This window comes from Homo sapiens, chromosome 6, assembly GCF_000001405.40.
Source record: "Homo sapiens chromosome 6, GRCh38.p14 Primary Assembly".
Taxonomy (NCBI): domain Eukaryota; kingdom Metazoa; phylum Chordata; class Mammalia; order Primates; family Hominidae; genus Homo; species Homo sapiens.
In genome coordinates, this window is record NC_000006.12 from 45,521,127 (window position 1) to 45,546,118 (window position 24,992).

The 24,992-nt window shown below is 40.7% G+C and overlaps 1 protein-coding gene across 4 annotated transcripts in view, besides 1 other annotated feature; it reads left to right on the forward strand.

Annotated features, from left to right (window-relative positions):
• Nucleotides 1–24,992, forward strand: part of RUNX2 (RUNX family transcription factor 2) — a 222,753-nt gene that overhangs the window by 192,797 nt on the left and 4,964 nt on the right. For 2 of the 4 annotated variants that reach the window (NM_001024630.4, NM_001369405.1), the window contains one exon: nucleotides 24,091–24,156. The exons of the other annotated variants lie outside the window; for them this stretch is intronic. In NM_001024630.4, coding sequence (NP_001019801.3) covers nucleotides 24,091–24,156 — 66 coding nt within the window. The remainder of the gene's footprint in view (nucleotides 1–24,090; nucleotides 24,157–24,992) is intronic. 4 annotated transcript variants of the gene reach the window in all.
• Nucleotides 20,826–21,120: a silencer, noted in NCBI's record as "tiled region #12811; HepG2 Repressive non-DNase unmatched - State 22:ReprW". NCBI's record gives its function as "represses a minimal TATA promoter and a strong SV40 promoter by Sharpr-MPRA in HepG2 cells {active_cell/tissue: HepG2}" and the evidence as "EXISTENCE:reporter gene assay evidence [ECO:0000049][PMID:27701403]".

A 24,992-nucleotide genomic window follows, 5' to 3' on the forward strand; every position in this document is an offset into this window, starting at 1 on the left:
TTTTTGGCACATGGTAGGTGCTTAAGAATGTTTAATGAAACAAGTATTAGTGGGAAAGAAGATTTTAAAAAAAAGAGGAAGATAGATATGTAGGAGAAAAAAAGGAAGAAAAAAGATTTTGTTCACCTGGAACAACAAAGAAAGGGCAAAACAAGAGAAACTTTCATTGCTGATAAGGACAGGAAATAGCACAGTAAGAGTGTGCATAAGCAGTATATATTTTTATCTCCAAGTCTTTTTGCAATATGTTTCATATTTAGAACACATATCAAGACTGTATCTGTTTCCAGAACTTGCTGCTAACAGTTAGTAACAATGCCAAAACATATTTTAGGTCCAGCTTGAAACCAAATGATCAAATAGAATTTTTGATTTCCACTTTAGAGTCTGACATTAATTATAGCCATCATGTAATAAAGTGTCAAAGCTCTTTTCTGAGAAAATGATAGAAATTATGTTAACTAATCTGTAAACTGAAGCACAGCTATTCCTCTACAACAAAGCAAAAGATAGGGTTTTGACAGCTATCATTTCTCATAGTCTTATCTTTTTCAGGCTGAATTTTTCCTGTATGCCCCACCTCTGCCTGTTTTTTTTGACGCTTTCTGTATAGTATGGTTGCAGGTCATCCTACTGGTCTGGTCAGTGGTCTCTGACACAGTTCATTAGTGTCCATCTTAACGCCTCGTACCCAGAACCAAACTATTCCTCTCTTCTCAGGCTCTGGTAGTGCAGGCTTTAGTGGCCTTTGTTCTTTTGGTGACCATATTACACTGTTTTCTCTTATTTGCCACTTCTGTCAATCTGCATTTCTCCAATTATTTACTTTTAGAGCTGTTTTTTTGTAGATCCAAATATGATACTTTACAGTTATCCCTGTTAGGTTTTACCTTATTTAATTCAGGTAATAATTTCTGCCTGTCTAGAACATTTTAGATTTTAATAATGTCATCTAATACATTAGTAGTCCCTGGCATTCCTTCCTGTTTGGAATGCTTTTCTTTCATTCATTTCAGTCATTTCAAGTCAGCTCAACAAATATTTGGCATGTACTTAAAATGTGCTTATGCAGGTGAGAAGTAAAAAAAGAAATAGAAGATATAGTCTCTGCCTTCAAGAAGCTTTCAGTCTCATTTAGGATACAACATAAAGCAAATGTGATGGTTACATTATAGTACTAGCCCATGTAGATGCCAAAAACATGCAAAGAATGCTCAGGATTTTAGGAAAGGAGATCTCTTTTGTTCCTTTGCTCTATTATAATAATTCACATCCGTAACCAACTTAAAGCCATCTGCATTAGGAAATTAAAAAAAAACAACAATCCCATTCAGCTCAGATTATACTTTCACTCCGAATTGCTTCAACAATTACGTTTTCAACTTTTAAAAATTACGTATGTTTGATGTGTGTGGCTTCATGTTTCTTAAGATGTGACAAGGATATGGAGGATCTTGTCTTTTCCCAGCTAGACTGAAAGCTCCCCTAAGTCAGGGGCCTAGTCTTCTAATCCTTTGCTATCTCTCCAGAGCTCCTGCTAGATTGAAGACTCCCATTGGCCCAGGGCCTGGCCTTCTAATCCCTTTCTATCTCTAACTCCTACTCCGATGCTCAGCATGCATAATGTCGTGGGAAGTACTAGCATTCAGTAGAAAAGTCTACCCAGGAATCAGTGCTGCATGCTTCAGGGTTCTTATGCTGTGACTATTATTAGAAATTGGCTAATAGATCTAGAAGTAAGATTCTATAGGAGACTAAGACAATTTCTGTTTACCTTTATTTCATATTTCGTAAATGCATGTATGGTCTCACTATGCAATATGTTACGGAATATGCCAGCAACTCTGACAAAATCAAACAACGTTGTTGCTCTGCTTCAGCATATACATCCCCATATGCATGAATCCACCTACTCATTATATTGATAATGAATATACATATAAATAGTCTTGACAGGTCTATTATTTGTGATATTAATAAATATTAGCCAAGTTCATACTTTTTTCAGGAAAAATAGGATCACTGACATCCCTATGTCTTAATATTATTTGATTACTTCATTAAGCATTGATTTCTCAGGAAACATTAACTGATCACTGTTGATAGAAAGGGGACAGAGGAACTGCATGATTATTATTATTATTTTATTAATTTTTTGAGACAGAGTTTTCTCTTATTGCCCAGGCTGGAGTGTAGTGGCATGATCTCAGCTCACTGCAACCTCCCCCTCCCAGGTTCAAGCGATTCCCCTAACTCAGCCTTTCTAGGTAGCTGGGATTATAGGCACCTGCCACGATGCCTGGCTAACTAATACAAAAATTATTAGTAGAGACGGGGTTTCACCATGTTGGCCAGGCTGGTCTCAAACTCCTGACCTCAGGTGATCTACCCGCCTCGGCCTCCCAAAGTGCTGGGATTACAGGCATGAGCCACTGCGCCCGGCCTGCATGATTATTTTAAATTAGCTCTTAGGTTTGTTAACATGCAGAAATAGTTATAAGGGGAAATCTTAGAAAATAGATAACTAGGCTGGTGCGGTGGCTCACGCCTGTAATCCCAGGACTTTGGGAGGCAGAGGTGGATGGATCACGAGGTCAGGAGATAGAGACCATCCTGGCCAACATGGTAAAACCCCATCTCTACTAAAAATACAAAATTAGCCAGGCGTGGTGGCACATGTCTGTAATCCCAGCTACTCAGGAAGTTGATGCAGGAGAATCACTTGAACCCGGGAGGCGGAGGTTGCAGTGAGCTGAGATCATGCCACTGCACTCTAGCCTAGCAACAGAGCGAGACTGCATCTCAAAAAAAAACCAAAAACGAAAACAAAAAAAAAGAGATAACTAAACAAGTAAAAAGCTTTTTTCTAATTAAAATATCTTATATGATAAAATGCAAATGACAGAACTTTAATTTGAATTGTTCAAAGTCATTTGTGGACAACACTTTGTTTCAAATAGTTCAGTCATTTTCAGACTTCTTTTTTGTTTTCCTGAAATGCAAACAGGAAGGCGTATTTTCTGGAACTGGGTCAGAATTTAAGTAACTTGGTCTGAGGCAAATCTAGGACCCCATTTGACTATACTGCCTAAATTTTTTTATATGACTCAATAAATTAATGAATTTCAAATCCATGAAAGTAATGTAAATAAAAATAAAATGCTGCACAGGCAACATTGTTCCTAAATATCTCAGAGGATTTTTTTTTAAGTAGAAACATGCCATGTATTTTCCAGAGAGACTGTGACCTTAAGTGATCAACCCATAACTATGCAGCGAAGCATGGGAGACTAGGAGGAGCCCTGTGCTTTTGTATCTAAAGCTTATCGCCATCTCGCGCTGTACCCAAAACGGTCACCGTTCCAGCTCTCTGTGGTAATTAGTAACAATGCTATAGTTGATGGAATAAAAATAACACATATAATGATGGTTACAAACACACCCTGACCTGTGCCAAGGAGAGCAGTGATTCATGAAAAATCAATAAATAAACCCATTGATGTGGTCACAATAAATCCGTACATAATTAAGAAGAACCTTTTCTAAATAAAAACTACAAAGGAAATAAAAACAGGTTTGGAAAAGAGGAAAAAGTCTGATAATAGCGTTATGGTACTCATCATTAAAGAAAACAAACTTGTAAGCTCCCAAACTACACCTTAGGAAAACAGTACATTCTCAGTGTGGCTTAAAGATATGGTAGAGGCTGGGCGCGGTGGCTCATGCTTGTAATTCCAGCACTTTGAGAGGCCGAGGTGGGTGGATCACAAGGTCAAGAGATTGAGACCATTCTGGCCAAAATGGTGAAACCTCGTATCTACTATAAATACAACAATTAGCTGGGTGTGGTGGCGCACGCCTGTAGTCCCAGCTACTTGGGAGGCTGAGGCAGGAGAATTGCTTGAACCCGGGAGGTGGAGGTTGCAGTGAGCCAAGATTGCGTAATTGCACTCCAGCCTGGGTGACAGAGTGAGACTCAGTCTCAAAAGATATAGTAGAGAACTGACCTAAAAGATTCCAAAAAGGAAAGAGTTTGGCCCTCAGAGCAGTTAACAAAGAAAGTTAAAGTTGTTCTCTAACCTTAGAAATTGGCAGGTGCCACAGATACTCTTTGAAGGGTTAATAAAACCTCACATAACCTCTTTAATCCAGTAGGTGGTTGAAACTTTTGAATTGGGTCTTGCCTCCCAAAGAAGAATTGAGTTCAACACTGATAAAACAGCAGTTGCTCAATAAAATTGTGCTGAATTGATTTGGTTTATCAGGAAAACATTTCTTCCATGACTCAAGCATGTAGAGTGGTAATTAAACATTCATAGCATCGTTGACAGTGTATTGGAAATAGGAGTTGGCTGGGAATTGAGGAGCCTCTCTTTTGAATTTCAGATGTGCCTCTGAGTTCTTGAGCAGGTCACTAACTTCTGTAGGTCTTAGTTTCTTTAAGCGTGAACTGAGTTAATTGGGCTAGTTTTTCCCCAAGGTATATCATAAAGTTTTTGATGTCTGTGATTCTAAATTAAGGCCTGAAAGGGCAGGTTTTCTTACAGGAGAGATTTAGTAATCATCACATCAGAAAACTAAATTCCGGCTGGGTGCGGTGGCTCACATTTGTAATCCTAGCACTTTGGGAGGCTGAGGCGGGCAGTTTGCTTGAGCCCAGCAGTTGGAGACCAGCCTCAGCAACATGGCGAAACCCCGTCTCTACAGAAAATACAAAAATTAGCTGGGGGTGGTGCGTGCCTGTAGTCCCAGCTACTTGGGAGACTGAGGTGGGAGGATTGCTTGAGCCAGGGAGGCTGAGGCTGCAGTAAGCTGAGATTGTGCCACTGCACCCCAGCCTGGGTGACAGAGACTCTGTCTCCAAAAAAAAAAAAGAAAACTAAATACCACCATCAATAATAACACTAAAGGCTAATATAGCATTTAATCGAAGAACTAAATTAACAGGAGCAACTATGATAGATGTCAGGAAAGGTTTTGTTTTGTATTTCAGTTAAGAGATTCTGATGAGAAGCAACCTAAGATCAGGTTATTTAATACCAAAAAACTGTACATTTAGATCTTGATACCTGACCACAGCTGAACCTGTCTTTAAGGTGAAGCCTTATATATGTGCATGTGTGTCAGAATCCATAGACAATTTTTGAAATCCCAGATTTAATGTAAAATTAAGGAATTTTATTGACATCTCTCATACCCTTGCATGGTTTTATGTAATTTATTTGTTAACCCTCTTTACATGAGAATGGTACATTTGTAAGTGATAATTTATCTTACTGGAGAAATGAGAACCTTATAAGCTAAGAGTTATTAAAACAGACGAATTCTGTTAATAACAGAATAAATGTGATCACAGGACCAGGCTTTCTATATTAAAGAAATTAGATCTATTTAAAGAAAATATGATTTGAATCATAACGAGATTTCTCTTAATGAAACATTACTGTCATAGTGTTTTATGACTGCATGATAAAAATATTTAACACAAGTTATTGCCAACATTAAAGTTACTCATTTATTGAGCACCGTTCTGCCCACTGGAGATACTCTGATGATCAAGACAGAAAGGCTCTTGGAACTTTTTCTATTGGCATATGGCATAATAATTAAACAGTCTTTAGAGCCAGGTCTAAATTCAGGCTTCTTTACTCACTAGCTTTGTGCCTGTGGGGAGGTAACTTAGCTTGTTTGTACCTCAATTTCCGCATCAGTTAAATGACCATATAATCTAATAATAATAATACCTGCTTTAATAGGTTGTTATGGGGACTAAAGGATAGTTAATATATGTAAAGCCCTTAGAATAATGCCTGATGCTCAATAAATGTTAGCTATTACTACCAAAGGGTGGGCAATTGAAAATAATAAAATATTATCTAGGGATATGTACTATGAAAGAAGTAAAATAGAGTGATGTGATGAGGAGTCAATATTGAAGCTGAGATCTAATTAACAAAAAAGAGTTAGCCCTGTCAAGATCAGGAGGAAGGGAGGGCATTCTAGGCAGTGGGAAAATCGAGTGCAAGGGCCCAGAGGTGGGAAGACTGTGGGGTGTTTGAGAAGAATGCTCAGTGGCTGGAGTGTGTAGATGACATGAAGTTAGAGAGATAGGCTGGGTCCAAGTTATGCAGGGCCACTACAGGTCAAGATCAGAGGTTTAGATTTGCTGTTATGTGCAGTGTTAAGCCATTTGGCAGATTTTAAGCAGGGTCTTGATATACACTGATTTATATTTTTCAAAGCTCACTCTGGCGGTTGGGTGGAGAATTGTAACAGGGGTAGGGAGGAGGTTAGGAGGCTTGGCAGTCACCCTAGTGAGAGGACAGTGGCTTGGGCTTCCCTGGAAATGGTGGGGATAGAGACACTGGAGTAGAGAGAGAATTTTGCTGGTATCATCAAAATGCTTTAGTAATGTTTTCTCCCAATTGTTAGTTTACTTTAAAAGGAATAATATTGCATCTTTTACAAGTTTAATTAATGTTTAGACACTATTATACACCCTAAGTGAAGTGGTAATTCAGGAGTTACTTGATTTATTAAACAAATACAGAACTATTAACCTGGAAATTTCAGGCCAGAAATCCATTTTGAGATCTGAAATGTTTTGTTTGACTGAAAATTTTTAGGTTTTTGTAATCACATTTTGTTAATCTTCTGATTTCCAATAGCTTTCCTTCCTTGGCACCATGCAAACCCAGATTTTAGTACAATGATGTACAATGATGAGATGAATTTTGGGGACTGAAAGAACATTATATGTTTGTATTAGTCTGTTCTCATGCTGCTAATAAAGACATACCCAAGAACTGAGTAATTTATAAAGAAAGATGGGTTTAATGGACTCACAGTTCCACATGGTTGGGGAAGCCTCAATCATGGCAAAACGCGAAAGAGGAGAAAGGCACATCTTACATGGTGGCAGGCAAGAGAATGTGTACAGGGGGCAGGGGAACTCCTCTTTTTAAAACCATCAGATCTCATGAGACTTATTCACTATCACGAGAACAGTATGGAAGAGACCCACCCCCATGATTCAGTTACCTCCCACCAGGTCCCTCCCATGGCACATGGGGATTATGAAAGCTATAATGCAAGATGAAATTTGGATGGGGACACAGCCAAACCATATCAACATTCTTCTCATTCTCAAAATGTATCTTCTGTATCTTTCATACACACCAGTTCCTTCTACTGCTTCTAAAATGCACTTTAGGTCAGGCGCGGTGGCTCAAGCCTGTAATCCCAGCACTTTGGGAGACCTAGGCAGGTGGATCATTTGAGGTCAGGAGTTCAAGATTAGCCTGGCCAACACAGTGAAACACCGTCTCTACTAAAAATACAAAAATTAGTCGGGTGTGGTGGCACGCAATTGTAATCCCAGCTACTGGGGAGGCTGAGGCAGGAGAATTGTGTGAATCCAGGAGGCAGAGGTTGCAGTGAGCCTAGCTTGTGCCACTGCACTCCAGCCTGGGTGACAGAGGGAGACTCTGTCTCAAAAAAAAAAAAGATGCACTTCAATGGAAAGCATCATGCATGCAGGTGTGACCAGGCTGGCTTTGCAGGCAATCATTAGATGATCACACTGGGCAGTGCGTGGCAACAGCTCTGAAGTGAAGAAACACTTAGGCAAGGGGCTATCAGTTCCTTCAGGCTGGCGAGCTAATATCCAGCAGTCAAGAAAAGTCAGTCCAGGTGAGAAACCAGCACTTGTCCTCCCTGTGGAGTCAGTACCCAAACAGCTTCTTCAGAGGACTGAGAAATTGGGGCTTATCTTAAATAGCAAGGAACTTGAATTGATAAGGGATGAGGAACATGTTCTAAGCAGAATCTCATAACCACAAGCCAAGCTTATAGGAGAAAGCTTTAAACAGGTAACCCTGTTGGCATCACAGTTGTAGTAAGCTATCACTCCATTCTCAGATCCTTCAACCATGCCCTAAAAGGAGATTCCTCCTCATGAAACTCTAAATTTGGGGCTCTGGAAGTTAGCTTCAAGATCTTATGCAGATATGAACACTTTTTCTTATATTTCCTGTTTAAAATGTAATGAAGTTCCATTTCTCCATGGACACAGCTTTCTGTTCTTTCTGGAATCCTGAAGTTCAGAGGTGTGTGTACTGAAAACTATTACAGCCATTTGTTAGTTTGTTTTAAAGGAAAGGAGAGTAGTAAAATCAGGACCTGGAGAGCACATTTCCCAGTGACCAAACCTACTCAAAATGTATTTGATGGATTTATTTTGAGTTTTGGAAGCTCAAGGACTCCATAGAAGATACAGTTCAAAGGGTGTCAGCATGGGGAATCCAGAATAATTCTCAGAGCTCCAAAAACTTCATAGATTGGAGCTTCGGATGATGGGTTGGCTGTTTCTTTGGCTGTCAAACCTAGTTTTTAACCTTTCTCCCTGGTTAAAAACTAGGTTTGACAGCCCATTGAGGGAAACGGGAAGAACAAAGAGATTGGTACAAGTACAATCTGTGAGTTAGGCTTATTGCATTCCCTTTCATTTAGAAGGGTATAGTAAAAGAGAATGGAGGTGAAAAAATGTAATGTGAATTTTCTCACTAGAGTCAGAAGCAGCAGATAACAGATAACAGCCCCTGGAAAAAAACAGTCACTTTAAAAAGGAATAAAATTGGTAGGGTAGTTTATTGAAAAGAGGCGTGCTTTCTCCCCATGAGCCAAGAGGTCTGAATCCTGACAATACACATGTGTGTAATGAATTCCCCTCCTCTTCAGATGAGTGGCTGGACTTGCTTATACTAATGCCCTCCCCCTCCAGTCTTAAGGCATTGGTACTGATCTTTTTCACTCCAACAACACCGTGGTATAATAGTGAAAATCACCGCACAGGTGGGTTAGGAGATAGGTAACTAGGAGATAGATTAAAACTAGGGAACTGGAGATGTGGTTATCTTTCAGCCCATTTGCAGACTTTGCAAGCTAGTATTTGAGGTGTCAGCTTTGGACTTGCAAAGCCACAGCTTCTGCAGATGGCTAAGTTGCCTTCCTCCTGCACTTTACCACATTCCCTGGTACCTAAGAGAGAAAAACTATTTCTCCAAAGTGAACCCCTCCCAGGGGTCTTCCTACCACCATTTTAATAAAAAGGTTAAATCTCAAACTGCAAATTATAGAATGTCTAGTTAGAAGTTTGAAAACAATCTTTGTAAAAGTTCATTAAAATCAAATAAGCAGTACCACTTTAGGTTATATAGAAGGCGATTTGGAGGTAAATCCCTTCAGTTATCTAAAAATGTGGCAAGTAAGTTCCAACAAGTGTAACAAGCAGGTTAACACTGAGGGAAACGGGAAGAACAAAGAGATTGGTACAAGTACAATCTGTGAGTTAGGCTTATTGCATTCCCCCACAGTATCCTATTGCATATGAAGAGGTCCATGGTCCAGTGCAGTTAGATGACAGTGGACTCTGGCAGCTTATCAAGCTGCTGTCTCCAGAGGATGCTGCTGGTCATCCAAGAGAAGTGGAAACTCGGGCATGTGCAACAGAATATGTACAGACAAACTGAGGACTCCCCCAGGAAGGAGGAGGCATCTTAGGAGGGCACCTTGAACTCTTCTGCTCTGCTTCAGGAACTCCAGAGAGTGAGGGAATTAAAAAGGAGCAGGACTATTGGGTCCTCTGTAACAGCTCTTTTCTGATGGCGGAAAGTACTTAAAGCTCACAGATAAAGAACATCATGTTAGAACCTCAGACAAATTAAGTGCAGGGGAAGATGGGAAGAATTTTAGCAACTAACTCCAAAGGTGAGAGTAAAAATAAATGCATAGCAAGACTTAATATTAATAATACTTAGATAGTGCTTTACATCTATAGAAAGCACTTTCATAGACATTATTTCATTTAATCATTACAACGCATTGAAGTATCAATACTACTATACTCAGTAGTTTGCCAGCAGGAAATGAGGGCTCAGAGACATTTAGAGATTTGTTCAGGGTCATCAAGTGAAAGGGATAGAGAGTGAAAACTCAATTCCAGGTCTTTTAGCTCCACATAATATGCTTTTCCCTACTCTGCGTTGCTGTAGGAGTCTCCATATCAGAATCGGACTTTGCTACAAAGGCCTGTTGGCTATCATCCTAAGAGGAATATTTGTTATCACTGATCTTTCCAGCCCAAACCTGGATAACACCATTAATCCTTACTAAGTAGCCAAAATTCATGGTTTGATGCAGATCAGAGAACCCAAAATAAAGTAAAATGGACCAAATCCCTAACAAGAAATAATAGTGGAAAAATCTACCTCCCAATTTTGTAAACATAAATTTTATTCTAGAAATTAAAAATGTACACATTAATGAAATCTTAAAACCTCAAAATAGGCCAGGCACGGTGGCTCACACCTGTAATCCCAGCACTTTGGGAGGCCGAGGTGGGCAGATCACAAGGTCAAGAGATCGAGACCATCCTGGCCAACATGGTGAAACCGCATCTCTACTAAAAATACAAAAATTAGCCAGGCGTGGTGGTGCGCACCTGTAGTCCCAGCTACTTGGGAGGCTGAGGCCGGAGAATCGCTTGAACCCAGGAGACAGAGGCTGTGGTGAGCCGAGATGGCGCCACTGCACTCCAGTCTGGCAACAGGGTGAGATTCTGTCTAAAAAAAAAACAAAACTCAAAATATATGGTTTTATATGTGGGGCGAGGAAATTTAAAGCTACTTAAATTTTGCACGATATATTCTACCTTGCAAGAGCTGGAAAGGTTGATACAAAAAATCATTTATTTAACTTTGGATAATTCAGATCAAACAATTTGCTTAAATAATCTAGAACAGAAAAGAAAGAGAAATAGCTCACGTGGTATCTCCCATCGAATATGGGAGCCTGAAGTGTTAGTTTTAACCTCCTTTACTGCTAAATTTAAGGATGAAAGACTTTCTTAAAAAGTTAGTAGTGTTCCCATTTTCTTTTGGCCTGTGTTGGGAACTGTTGTTAACAATTACATTTTTTTAGTTTTTAGAAAAGATCCTAAATTTTTGAATTGACATTTTGTACATAGAAAACCTAGATTTTTTTTTTTTTTTTTTTTTTTTTGCACATTGAATGTATAGCTTTATTACCTCATTTTGAAAACTAGTACTGCTTTTTAATGAATGGGGACCATTCTTTGCAGGAACAGTATTTCTAGTAGAATTTTTGAAGGTATTTTTGGAATTCTCAGACTTGTCCAATATGTAGCAGGATCAGAATTTTAGAGCAGGGAAACCCACAGAGATGATTTCATCCCCGCCCCTCTTTTTACTGACAAGGAATGTGTGGGTCAGGGAGGGAAAGGGACTCCACCGTGATCACCCTGTGAGGCAGGGACAGCACTGTGGCCAGAACCCACATCTCCAGTTGCTAGTCCAACACTCTAGAATTATTTTATCCTGCTACTCTTCTCATAGGCTACTGACATTGTATTAAAATTGCTATCCATGGCCATTGTGACCTGAAGAAGAAGAAAAAAAATGAACCACCAATGACCTCTTCCTCCTCTGCACCTTTCCTCTTTTCACCCGAAAATTAAGTCCTTATGAAAAGATTAAATAGATGTGGCCCTGCATCTGTGGCAGCACTGTCTCTCCTGACCAGTCACTGACTGTTTTGGTCCACATCTGGAGTGGACTCAGTGGACATGATTCTCAGGCTGAGAAAAATAGGACTTGGATTTTGTCCTTGGCAGGCAGAGAACTTCCACTGTTTGAGGAGCTACTACTGGACTACTGTGTGTTTGTCCCACGTCCCACAGCTAGCTAAGCAGACCGGGCTCTTTTTTTTTTTTTTTTTTTTCACGGTCATCAAAACAAGTAGCTCCTCTCAGACACCTTAATACATAATTAGGTGTGTCTGTTTACACTTGGGAGACAGAGGGCTTCATGTCCCAGAGAAATACAAGACGTCTGGGAACAGCCACAAACAGATGTTGAAAATGTCCATTTGTGGCGAGTTTATTACTATAGCACCAGGAATAAACATTGAAGATGAAACCCCTCTGAAGGGGTGTGTGTGTGTGTGTGTGTGTGTTGAGAGGGGAATGTTATCGAACAGAGTAGAAAGTGAAAGGAGGTTCTATTTTTTAAAAAATTTGCTCTAGTATTTGTTTATCTCCTGCAACAAGGAAAATTTCGCTATTTGGCTTTGGCTGTTTGAAGGCTTTTGCCAAATGCTTAACAATCTGTAGGGTTTGATTTCTTTCAGAAAGACCACTTTGAGAACAAGGCTCTATGTAACTAAGATGTGTTTGTTTTTGTTTAAATCACTCAGAAGAGAAATCATCTCTTGTCCATTGTTAAAAAGAGAGTTTTCAATCAAAGGAAAATTCTACATATTCTAAAATATACAAACAGCTCTTTGAAACTGATGCCAAATCAAACTCTAAAAGGGACGTTTTTCTTGCAGAAGTTTTGAGTTAATTCTGTGTGCAGGGCTTGAGTGGAAAAACGCTGAGACTGTCAGAGGAACGAGTTACTACAACACTACATTTGGATTCGGAAGTTACATAAGGAGCATTGTCTCAGGATAGCAGGAAGACTCTTGTACATGGTTTTAGGCTAAATCCTAACAACAAAGAGAAAGAAATTCTTTGCAAAGTCAGTTTTTCAGTTAAATAAAAGGTAGTAGTTTGGTTCCTGATGTCACTGGATATAAACATCCAGTGCGAGAAGGCATACCAGTCATCACTTTAAAAATATCAATTGAAATGTGCCCTGTGCCCTGTTTTTAAAGAAATACCGTCCTTTCCCCTGTTGAGACTTTTTTTTTTTTTTTTTTTTTTTGGAGACAGAGTCTCGCTCTGTCATCCAGGCTGGAGTGCAGTGGCTCGATCTCGGCTCACTGCAACCTCCGCCTCCTGGGTTCAAGTGATTCTCATGCCTCAGCCTCCCGAGTAGCTGGGACTACAGGTGCCCGCCATCACGCCTGGCTAATTTTTGTATTTTTAGTAGAGATGGGGTTTCACCATATTGGTCAGGCTGGTCTCAAACTCCTGGCCTCAAGTGATCTGCCTGCCTGGGCCTCCCAAAGTGCTGGGATTACAGACCTGAGCCACCACGCCCAGACCTCCCGTTGAGACTTCTGTTTGGATGGAAAGTAGTAGATGCTAATGAGGCACCTCTATTGGGGGAAAAAAGGACACAAATTGGAAACCCAACGCGTTCACTTCAGCTCTGCACTAATGAGCTGTGTCCTCGAGATGGTGCCTTCTTTCTCTGATGAAGCTTCCTTATCAATGGGTGCCTATCCTGACTACCTCTCAGGCTCTTTGTGAAGGTAAAACCAAATGTATGTAAAAGCAGTGAAAACTTAAAAAGCAAAATCTGAGATGTTACCTTATTATTTCATGATGATTTTTGAGAGGTAGGTTGATGTGGGACCTGATGGTTTGCTGGGACTGAAAAAAATCAGAAACAGTTTTTGTTCATAGGATAAAGAGGGCAAGCCAGGGAACTGAGGAGAGCAAGAGACGCACCACAGAACTAACTGGTAGTCAGGGCAGAGCTGTGGCTCCGCAACTAACCTGAACCCTCTCAGGTAAACACAGGTAGAGTAAGTAGGAAAGGCAGTTAGTTGAAGATGTACAGACAGAAGGCAGATGACACACACAAATTTCAGTGAAAGACAAGGATTTAGGTCAAATCTGCTATTGCCATCATTTTTCCCTTAGACACACATGTAAATACTTTTTGTATGTAACTGTGAGAGGGGCCATGGTGTGTTTAAAGATAAATAGGACAGCATTCCCATTTTTAAGCAGTTTAAAGTCTAGTTGAACACAGCCATAAAAAAGAAAGATCATGTCCTTTGCAGTAAGATGGATGGAGCTGGAGACCATTATCCTTAGCAAACTAATGCATGAACAGAAAACCAAATACCGCTGCATGTTCTTATACGTGGGAGCCTGAATGATGAGAACACATGGACACATAGAGGGGAACGGTGCACACTGGGGCCTATTGGACGGTGGAGGCTGGGAGGAGGGAGAGGATCAGGATAAATAACTAATGGGTGCTAGGCTTAATACCTGGACGATGAAATAATCTGTATAACAAACCTCCGAGTCACAAGTTTATCTATGTAACAAACCTGCACATGTACCCTTGAACTTAAAAGTTAAATTAAAAAAAAAGGCTATAGAGGTGATTGCGCGATTGTTGCTTCCCCAGCACACTTATAAGAAAGATACAAATGGGCCGGGGGCAGTGGCTCATGCCTGTAATCCCAGCACTTTGGGAGGCCGAGGCGGGCAGATCACGAGGTCAGGAGATCGAGACCATCCTGGCTAACACGGTGAAACCCCATCTCTACTAAAAATACAAAGAATTAGCTGGGCGTGGTGGCGGGTGCCTGTAGTCCCAGCTACTGGGGAGGCTGAGGCAGAAGAATGGCGTGAACCCGGGAGGCAGAGCTTGCAGTGAGCCGAGATTGCGCCACTGCACTCTAGCCTGGGCAACAGAGTGAGACTCTGTCTCAAAAAAAAAAAAAGAAAGAAAAAGAAAGATACAAATGAAGAACTAATTGCCTGCAGAGAGGAAGGGGAGGTTACTGTGGGCTAAAGCAGGAATATATGAAGAAGCTTCACAGCAGAGGGGGACTGTGAGGTCGATTTTAAAGGCTGCTTAGAATTTTAAGGAGCTGAGATAGGGTAGGGGGCTAGTGGGATACTAAGGGCGGAGGGGCCAATGTAAACCCAGGCAGGAAGGTGGGAAAAGGTAGGGTAGCACAGAAGATGGAAAAGGGTCTGGTATGACTGGATTATAGAGTTCATGGAAGTAAAATGAGAGACAAGACTGGAAAGGTAAGTTGGGACAAGATTGTTGCTCTTGCAAATGTTTGTGTGCCCTTAACACAGAGTCTAGAAACACACACACACCTGAGCGAAAAAGCCTGACGTGAAGTCACAGAACAGGTAGGCAAACATGAACAAGGAAATCCCGAGGAACCAGAAAGTCAAACAAGATAAAGATTGAGGAAGCCAGATAAACCACCCAAGCAGAAGATGCAACACAGAAAGTGAACCTTGAATATAAAGCCAGCTTCTGTCACAACCCGGAAGCCCCTTATGTATTTCCTCCTGGGGCAGGAACCCCTCCCAGGGCATGGTCAGCCCAGGCCTCCAGTGGGGCACAGGTAAGTGGCTGCATCTGACTGTAGAGGGAGAAAGGGCAAAAATAAGCATAGGTCCTCACAGGATACAGTTTGAGGCTGAAGCCTGTGGCTTTGATCCTAGATTAACATGGATTGCGTTAGGCCTGGGGTAGCTGTATCTTTTGGAGCTGAATTATAGAGACTGAACAGCACTTGGTAATCTGGTTCAAGTCCTAGGTCTAGGGGCATCAGGCAATTCGAGCCACGTGCTTTAAGGCCCAGGATGGCCTCAGGGCTGTTGGACCACACCTGGGGACCAAGCCTTTTGAGATCTATTTTGGGAAATTGTATTTGAAAAAAATAGTGCCCCCAGCTTGTCAGGTTTTGTGTGATTCGGCCTTGAAAACAGCCGCTGCCTGCAGCGGACTCTTCCTTTTCCCCGGCATCTCTCCTGGACCAGTGCTAGTCTCAGTTACAGGTGTAGTCTTAGATTGGGTTGGTTTTAGATTTAAAGGAGCAGCTTGAGTCCTACTTTAAGAAGCAGAGTCCAACCAGAACTCTTCAAACTCTATCTGAAAACATTGGGCTTTGTGGTGATTATTCATTTCATAGTCTTTTCCTACCTCAACCAGCATCTCTCTTCTCAGTTATGGTTTTTTTACAGAAGAGTTTGGCTGGACCTGCAGCTGGGTGTGTGGGGTTAATCACGAATTTCAAGATTTTGATTCTCAATTTATGTATTTTCTAGCTTGGAGACCCAATCTTTTCGGTTTCCTTCTTCTCTGGCTCTACTAGTTCAAATAGTGCGGGTAAGGAGGAATGCCCTTTTAGGATGGAAATGTTTGCTATTTGCTGTGTACTGTTACCAATTCCTGCTTACAAGAGTCTCATGCAATGAGTTTACCTAAGGAATATAAAACATGGTTTGCTTCATATCATTCAGAACACCAGTGGTAAAGACAATATCAGAATTCTGGGGCTGGGTCAAGCATGGCTAATGAGTGCATGCGTCTGCCTCCCATTCCACCTCCATCCCAGGGCTGTCAGTGATAATTGGTCAGAACACTTTTCATCATTGCCCTCCAGGTAGCCATGGCCAGGCTGCTAGATTCACATGAAAATGACCCCGAATCCCTGCACCTTAGGGGAGACAGTGACAGCAAAGCCCCCACAAGTCTGGGGCCAGGTCTTGGGCTACCATGTACTGATCTGTAACTTCGACGAAATCACTTTTTTTGAGCTTGAGTTTGCCATTCATATAGTATAGTCAGTGGCATTGCTACCTTACAGAGGATTTAATGACAAAATGGCAGTGGGAGTGCTTTGATCGAGTACTTCTGCAGATCTGAGCTGTGGCATCCCAGCTGTTTGGTTAGCCACTCTTTCCTCTTAGTCAATTTTTGCTAACACCATGGGATGCTGTGGCTATTCCATCACTTATAGGATTCATATGGTTAGGGAAAAGCGACTGACTAGTCTGTTAAGCAATAGGCAGTTCTAGTTCCCAGCCCATCATCAAGCAGCTTCAAGTCAGAACATTCCTGCACCAGGGCTTCAGGCTTGCTACCAAGCCTGAAAGAAACGCTGCGCAGATTTTTCCACGGGAGCGCCTCAAAGGGCAGAGGAAACTCAAGGGCTCCTTCACTATCCCTGCTCTCCCTGATCTGCTGGCATAACCCAAAACAACCCCAGGTCCCCAAAGAGAATATTTTCAAGTCTCTTGTTTTATCTGAGAATGTATGTGAATTTTATTTTAGAATATGTATGTTTTTGTTTTAATATATAAATAACGTTTTAACTTACTAATATCAGTTAAATGTCCCCCTTTAAAAACCCTTCTCCATTTGTCCACTTCTTGTATTTCATGCCTTCCTATCAGTTAGGCTTTGGTGTCTAATATATAACATCTCAACCAGTTCATAAATTTCTGCTTTTAATATAGACCAAGTTACCACTAGCGCAGGCCACAGGAAAATACCAGTCTGTCCTGTCTGAATTCTGGCTTTTTTGAAAGATTTACTTAGGAACAATTTATCATTTAGTTTGCAATTTTTAAAATAATCTTAATTGACCACATATGTTATCAAATAAGAGTTGGTCTTGTAGCCTCTGCCTCGCTCGCCATCTCCCCGCCACCTCCCACCCCCTCATTTGCACATGTGTACAACCTTCTGCCAGGATGTCAGAAAATTAATTATGCCACTCCAGGCAGATACCATCGCAGGAAAGGCTCTCTCTGATTTAAGATAAGATTACCAATATCTAAGCTGTTATTTTTAGGAGGGAAAGGCTATCACTTTTAAACCTCTCTCCCTCATTTTCCTAGTTCCTTCTCTCCTAATTTGGCTCCATGTTTTGGTAGCCATAAGTCATTAGTGGTTTTTAATTTTTCTGAAACTGAAATAAGGTCTGAAAGGGTGGATTTGTCCCTTTTTTCCTCCTTTTTTCCTTTTTTTTTTTGGCTGGCTAATCGGAGGAACGCAACCACATCTGAAGCCACTTGGCTCATTATGAATTTCATGGAAACTGATTCTCTGAAAGTGTTTCCATATGTGTTCCCAATATATCCCATCCTCTCTAAATGGGAGCACAGACGTGTGCATGGGCTGGAAATGGCTTCAGGATGTGACAGGGCAGTCATATGACTGCCACGGCACCGTGGGTGGCCCCTTCTGAAAGACACGGTGTCCTGGGTGCTGGCCTCCTTCCTGCAGTGGATCTGGTTTCAAAGACTATCCATCCTTCCTAGGATTTAAAAAGTTCTTAATCAAGGCCTAGCAGGAAGATCTCTCTCATTTTTCCTCCCTTTTCTCTCCCCCTCCATCTTTGGCTCGTTCCTTCCCTTACTCTCCCTCCCTGTATGCATACACACTCACTCACACATCTACTGCCTGCCCCCTTTCCCTTTATAAAAGGAAATATATTCTTCCAACAATATCCTCAAAATTTGGGTGGGTTTAAGGAATGGCTGAATTTTCTGAAAATTGCCAGGTTTTTTTTTCTCTCTCTCTCTCTCTTTTTCCTTCAGCATAACATACTTTCTTAGCCTTAGGATCAGCTAGTTCTTTCAGAATTTGTGAGCATGCAGTGGAAAAGTACAATTCATTACAACACAGAAAACAAATATTTAGACTGGATAGTCGAGGGACTTTCCCTCTCTTTTGCAAAAGAATGGAGTTTGCTGGTCATTTCATTATCTTAAAATGATTTTACAATCTCATTTTGCTGGTTTCTTCTCCATCAGCATGATCCATTGCATGTCTTCTATATATGGTATATTTTCCTAATTATTATCTAATGAAATGAAAAGTAAAACTAAGTTAGTGATGGATAGTTGGTCATTTTTTAGTGTGAGGGGAGAAATTCAGGGAAATTTAGAAAATTGGTCCCTTAGAACCTCAGTGTGGAAAATGCAAAGTAATATTTTGCATATAGTCTACATTTGACTTTTGAATAATGTTTATCCATAGCATTTCTACCTCTGTCGTGTTTGCCTCCTTGAGACTTTGGTAGTAATTCATCTGCTTTGCAAAATTTTTTGAAGCATCTGTCTTCTCAGCACCATACTATAAGGTAGGATCTGGAAGAAGAATATGTGGTTCTTCCTCTTCATTTGCTTCCTCTTTAGTTGGAAAATGAAAATTCTTATCTAAAACCAATGATAATACTTAGGAATGTGTGCAGCAGTAAGATTTATCTACATAAATGTCCAAGGTTAGTTTGGTAAATGAAATATTATGGTAAGAATTTGTGTGCCCAGGAAATCCTTGTGTAGTGGTGAGCTTTGAGCCAGAGCTCGCTTACTTTGGTCTGGCAGAGAGAAGAGAGAAAACCATGGGTGCTGGGGAGAGCATGGGCAAAGCTCCCGTGAGTGTCCTGAGTATATAATCACTCCACCAGGAAGAGGGGCCATGCTTAGGAGCAGTGGGATATGACTTTGAAATAGGGCAGAGGACTCTGAATATGCCCATAGCCTCCTTCCTTTTCACCCCTTCATTACAGAATTGCTCAGATATGCTTTTTGAAAGGTGGCTGGCCTATGCTTGAGTAAGGGGTAATACACTCTTGTTTTAAGGCCCTGCTGCCTGTGTGACTTAAAAAGGCAGTAAGTGGAAGAATTTCCCTTTTCATGTGTGTTTTCATAGAATGCAGATCTCAGGAAGCTCAAGGCAGACCCTCTATGTTTTCCTCTGCACCCTGCATGCTCTGTCAGGGTGCAGAGGTAGAATAGAATGCTGGAGCTAGGACAGAGAACCATGTTGGAGTCTCGTGTTGCCGCTCAGATCTACCATGCCTGCAGGTTTCCGTGTCTATAAAACTCATCTATAGAACTCATCTATGATTCTTGATGACTCTGACTTCTGCTTCTGTATACTAGTCTAAAAAAATTCAAACAAGATGCTAGTTTCACTCTCTGTTCCTTTAAACTATTCACTCCAAATAAAGATTATGATCTTAGTGGCAGCGATTAACCCAGGATCATAAGGAAGGACGAGTGTGCTTACCTAACAGCAGGCCATGGGTTTCTGGCCTGGCCCTCTTTCCCCTTCATCTAGTCTCCCCAGGGCTCCCTAGTGTGGATCTACACCCAGATACTGGCTGGGAGGCAGGACAGGTGCTGGGAGTGAAGAGGAAATAACAGTGGAAGCAAAGCAGAGGCATCCGTTTACTAGTGTCAACTGCTGTTTTGGGGGCTCCTGTCTGCAATGTGAGGTCAAGTGATGCAATAATGCTTGGGAATAGCTTTGAATGCTCTTTAAAGAGAGTTGTATAAGGTTTTATAGGTATGGAATGTATTTGAATTACATTTTAGGTTTGATGTCAGCATTGCTCAATGCTTTTCATATCTTTTCCTTTTGTGTTAAAACTGTACAGAGTTATTGTACAGAGTTCCCAATCCTTAGACTCATTTACGTATTCATTTATCCATCCAACCATGCACTGACATTTTTTTTTTCATTTTAGCCTCTTACAATGTACTAGGTTCCAAGAGGGATATGAGAGGAAAACATATTCTTTACCATCCAAAGCTGACTTTATAGTTGGAGAAAACAGACTAAGAAACAGCTAATAATTCAATAAGGGAGTGAGTAAGGGTCCAAAAGAGTGATATAGAAAATAAATGCTATTGGAACGGAAGTAAAATAGGAAATTAAATAATAGAGCTGTTGGGAAGGGGGCAGCCAAAACGTTTAAAAGGGGGAGAAGATTCTTGGTTACCAGGGGAGAGCAGCTCCACATAGGTCTTGTGTATTACATGTTCCAATAGAAAGAACTCTGAGAGGGGTTAATAAAACGTCCTTCGGATTTATTTGAGATTTGTTGAAGCAATAACTCCTACCATTTAAAAGGCCCCAATGAAGCTTTGAAGTTAACACCTCATTGCTGAGAAGTACAATGGCTTTTCATTCTGTACCTTTATCCCCTCACATAAAGTGGGCAGAGGACTCTGAATATGCCAGCATATGTTCAGTCTGGATTCAAGGCCCCCCTTCCTTTTTTCTGCCCTGACCTGCCTGCTCTGCTGGGATGTGTGAATGTACTGCACAGAGGCCAAGAGGACATGGGGCATGGGGTTTCCCAGCTGACAGCCCCAATGGCAAGTACCCGGTCTGTTATTTTGGTCAAATTCCAATTTCTTTTTTGTTCTAGAGATCTCCTTACCCATTTTCCGTCAACCAACCATATTTATTGGGGGCCTAGTCAATGAGAAAATGTATGTTAAAGTAAAGGCCTTCAAATGTCAAACAGGTGTGACTGTTATGAAGTTCTGAAGGGGAGGCAAAGAAGTATCAGACACTTCTCTACCCTCCACAGCTCACTCTCAGTGGGAGCCAAACGTGACTCAGGATAAGCAGCATTCGAAAACAGTGTGTGAAAGATGCCACAGGGAGGATTCCCGGCCCTGAAAATTGAAGATCAGACATTCTGTTTGATTCCCTCTTATCTTGGTTTCACACACTTTCCACTTGAAGACCCAAGAAACCTAGTTGGGTAAAGAGAGGCTATTTCCTTTTCCCTCATAGACCTTGGGAGGAGGGGCAAGATGTTTTAATTTTTATTAGTGATTTTATTTTTATTTGTGCTCCATGGAAATGTTATTAATATATTCTTTCCTGTGTATATTAGGTTGTGAAAAATTGCTGCTGCCGCTGCTGTTACTATTTTAATGAGCAAAGTTCTTGCAGCTCTTTTTATGACAGCTACATTTGTTTGCAAGCTGTTTGGCTTTGGCTAGGGGTGTAGACAGCAGTTTTGGAATGAAATGCATCTGTAGGAAGCCAGCAGGTCCTAAGGGGATCATACCCTTGACCTTGGTCTCATTCACATGTTGCCCTGAGCAACCAAACTAATTGCCCATTATTTAGCAGATTAGATCAACAAGGCCTAAAAGAGTTATTAATAATATCCCAAAGATAGGAACTCTCACTGGGGCAACACTTAGGCAGTAGAAGAGTCAATTTAAGTATTTTGAGATATTTTGAGTATTTTTCATTTAGGCAAATCAACTTCTAAGATAGCAGGTGTGTATGTGTATGTAGATAGACCTGTGATCATGTTAACCAAATTCCTTAAGGGTAACTAAGATAGCATATCCTTTGTTAGAAGTCAAAGAGGTCTGTCTAGCTGTGGCTGTGATTTTGTGATATTGAGTAAATGGCTTCTTTTCTCTAGATACCAGCTTTCCTATTTGTCAAACAGGGGTTAGATTTGCATTACCTAAGCAGCAAATTAAGAGTTTAGACTTTTCCATCAGAGTTCCTCAACCAGCATAAAGGAGTATTTGAGTACCTTGGGGGATCTCGGATCATAGCCTAAAGCTTTACAAGAGCAAAATTTTGTTGAAGTCATTTTTTATTTATCTAAAAATTCACATAAATGTTGCACTCTCCTCCACATCATATTCATGTTTATTGTATAGTGTATTATTTTCCCCAAGTTGAGTAAAACCAACCCATCAGGAAAATGCACGATGATTATCTTGGGCTTCTAGTAACTCCTGGCAGTCCCCCAGGAAGATGTAGGCACATACCATTTTGAAACTCTTCGCACCAAGTGATCTAGTGTTGGCTATAGCACTCTCAACTTCTCCACTGTTCAGCAAAGCCTAATAGCCGAATGTACTTTGTATATGGAGGAGATAACATGGATAACAGCAAAAAGAATGGACTTGTGCAAGTTGTTCCTTGCTATTTTAAAAAGGTCCCCAAACCACCTTTGGCTTTATCTATCCAGTAAGTTGTAGTCATGAGTTTTAAACTGGCTCTTGGGAGCTCTGAGCGTACCAGGCATATCACTGGGGGAGTGGCTGAGCTTTGGTTTTATATTTAGAAAATCAGATTGGGGTTGCACTGCTTTTAGAACTCTAGGCCTTCATAATATGGACTCTTAATAAGTCAAACTTATATTTTGCTTACTTTAGTTGATGTAACATCCAGTTAGTTCTATGTTGGTAAGTTTGTGGCTACAATGTGGTTGGTGACACAAGGATGACTAGTTTAGGATACAATGTCAAAATAGCCCAAGCAGGGGTTCTAAAAGAAAACCTGAGTTCATGTACAAAACAGACATTGGAAGCACAGACACAACCTTATTCAATGAAAGAAAATTTAAGGATATTATTTGCTTCTGTAACTATTATTATTTAAAAATTTGAAGATTAGGAAGGAGTTTATAGTCTTTCTTTTAAGTTTAGGATTTCTCCCACCACCTTATCATGATTATTTTATAAGGGATCTCGTATGGTACTAGAGCAAATTGTTACTATTTCTTCCTAGAGAACATGTTGCAAAATGTTTCAGGAACATTTCTTGGTAACATAAAGTGACTAAGCAAATTCCAGAAAATTCTATTGTTTGTAAGTTGAAAAATCATCCTATAATCCCTTTCAAGTCAACATTAGCGCTCTTTATCAAGAAAGAGTCCATTCTCAAGACATTAAGACTCAAATGCCTAGAAGTGATTGGTTAAAATACTGTAAACCTAGCGGAAATTTGTTGCATTGTTTTCTATAAACCATAACCAGAGCTCATTAATTGAAAAACAAATGTCATTTTGTGTTAGCTAGCATCTATAAACCAAAAAGGTACAGTGATCCTGGCATGTGATGGGCAATAAAAACATCAGCAAAATGTATCAGGTAAAATTGAGAGGAAGGAGTGGGGAGGGGTAAATTCAAAACCATATTGGAGTTTACTGCCAGGGCCCCACATAAAGAGTTTTAATGAGGCTTCTGCATCAAAATAAGTGAAACCATACGGAATTGTAATTATTACTGCAGTGTATTTTAAGTACAGATACACCTAAGAAGCAGTTTTTACATTAACATGTCTATCTGTGTGAACTCCATACTTCTGCAGGGGGCACACGTTGGCGTTTTAAGTGCGACTTCTTTCTGATACACGCTGTTCACATTATTCTGGTTCTTCTTATATGATCTAAATATTGAACTTAATGCATACAGAAGTGCCCTGCCCATCGCTGTTAGTTCTGCCAGCTCAAGGTCACCTGGATGCCCTGCAATGCAGAGGCTGCCTGAGGAACGTCTGTGGCCTCCATTTGGCCTCTGTATTGTACGAGGCAGGGCACAAGCACTGGGCGGGGGAAATGTTATGGAGCATCTGCTCCCATTTCTGATTCTGTCATAATCGCTGTTTCCACATTTTTAAATTTAAGCTTGTCAGAATTTCGTTTTTGGGAGGAATAGGTAGAGGCTAGTTGAGGATGGAAGAATTTATAAAAAGCAGAGAGTGACTGCCTGGGCTGTCAGTTTTGGTTCTTCATCTTGAAAGTGTTTGCTTCTGGCCTTAGAAGCTGCTCACTAGCTTTTACCCTCTGCTTATGGGCCTGCAGACTCTGGGAAATACTAATGAGGGATGGGAACCTCTCTGTCTACCCCTCCCCTAAGGCTGTTGCTTCTCCTTCTCTCTTGGAATTCATAGTCATAGAACATTAGAGCTGGAAGGGAACTTAGAGCTCATCCCCCTCATTTTACAGATGATGACACTGCCACCTCTGACTTCTGCCTCTGGCCTTCCACTCTCAGTAAGAAGAGCCAGGCAGGTGAGACTTTTAACAATTGCTGGGCTGGGCAGGGCTGGGCTGGGCTGGGCTGTCTGGTTGTTACTGTCCGATTTGTGAGTTTTGTTAACTATATGTTGCTTTTAAAGAGTCACTTTTTATTACAAATGCACATCATGGCACTTAACCCTTGCATTTTGTGAAGATTATAAGCAGTGTGCATTTTAACAAAAATTAATAACCTTCAATCAGCACCTTTAAAGAAAAGTGTTCGGATTATTCCCTTAATAAACATCGTAATATCCAAGAACAAGGTCTGAATAAAAATGAGGTGAAGAAGTACCCATTCATTAAAGTCCTCAAGAATTGTTTAGTGCTTTCCTTTATAGCTAAAAGCTGTAGGAGAAACAAATATATGAGATCTGAATAATCAAAATATTTTAGAAGGGAACAATATCTTAACAAGAGCACTGGTATTAGAAAAGGGCTTGTCACAATTCTGTCAATTCTAGAAAAATAATAATAAACCCAATCTTTAAAGGTCACAACTACAAGATTCTAGCATTTCAGAAAACAAATTTCCACATGAAATGGTTTATAACGGTGGTTTCATAACTTAGGCACCAGAAACATCTATTAAGGAGGCCTACTGTTAGCTTTAGAAGTGAAAGGACTTCATGTTTTAGGGGAAAACCATCTTTGCCTTCAGGTTACTGCTTCAAGTTGACCTGAAGCTGGTTCTGTAGGATGTGGTGCTGGGGCCTGGGAGACGGGTGGGGAGTGCCCTCCTCTTAATCTCCCCTAGGCAGCGAGCCTCTCGCAAAAGCTACTGTTAGCACCTGGTCTAAATCAGGTCACAAGTCTCCCATCAAGACTTG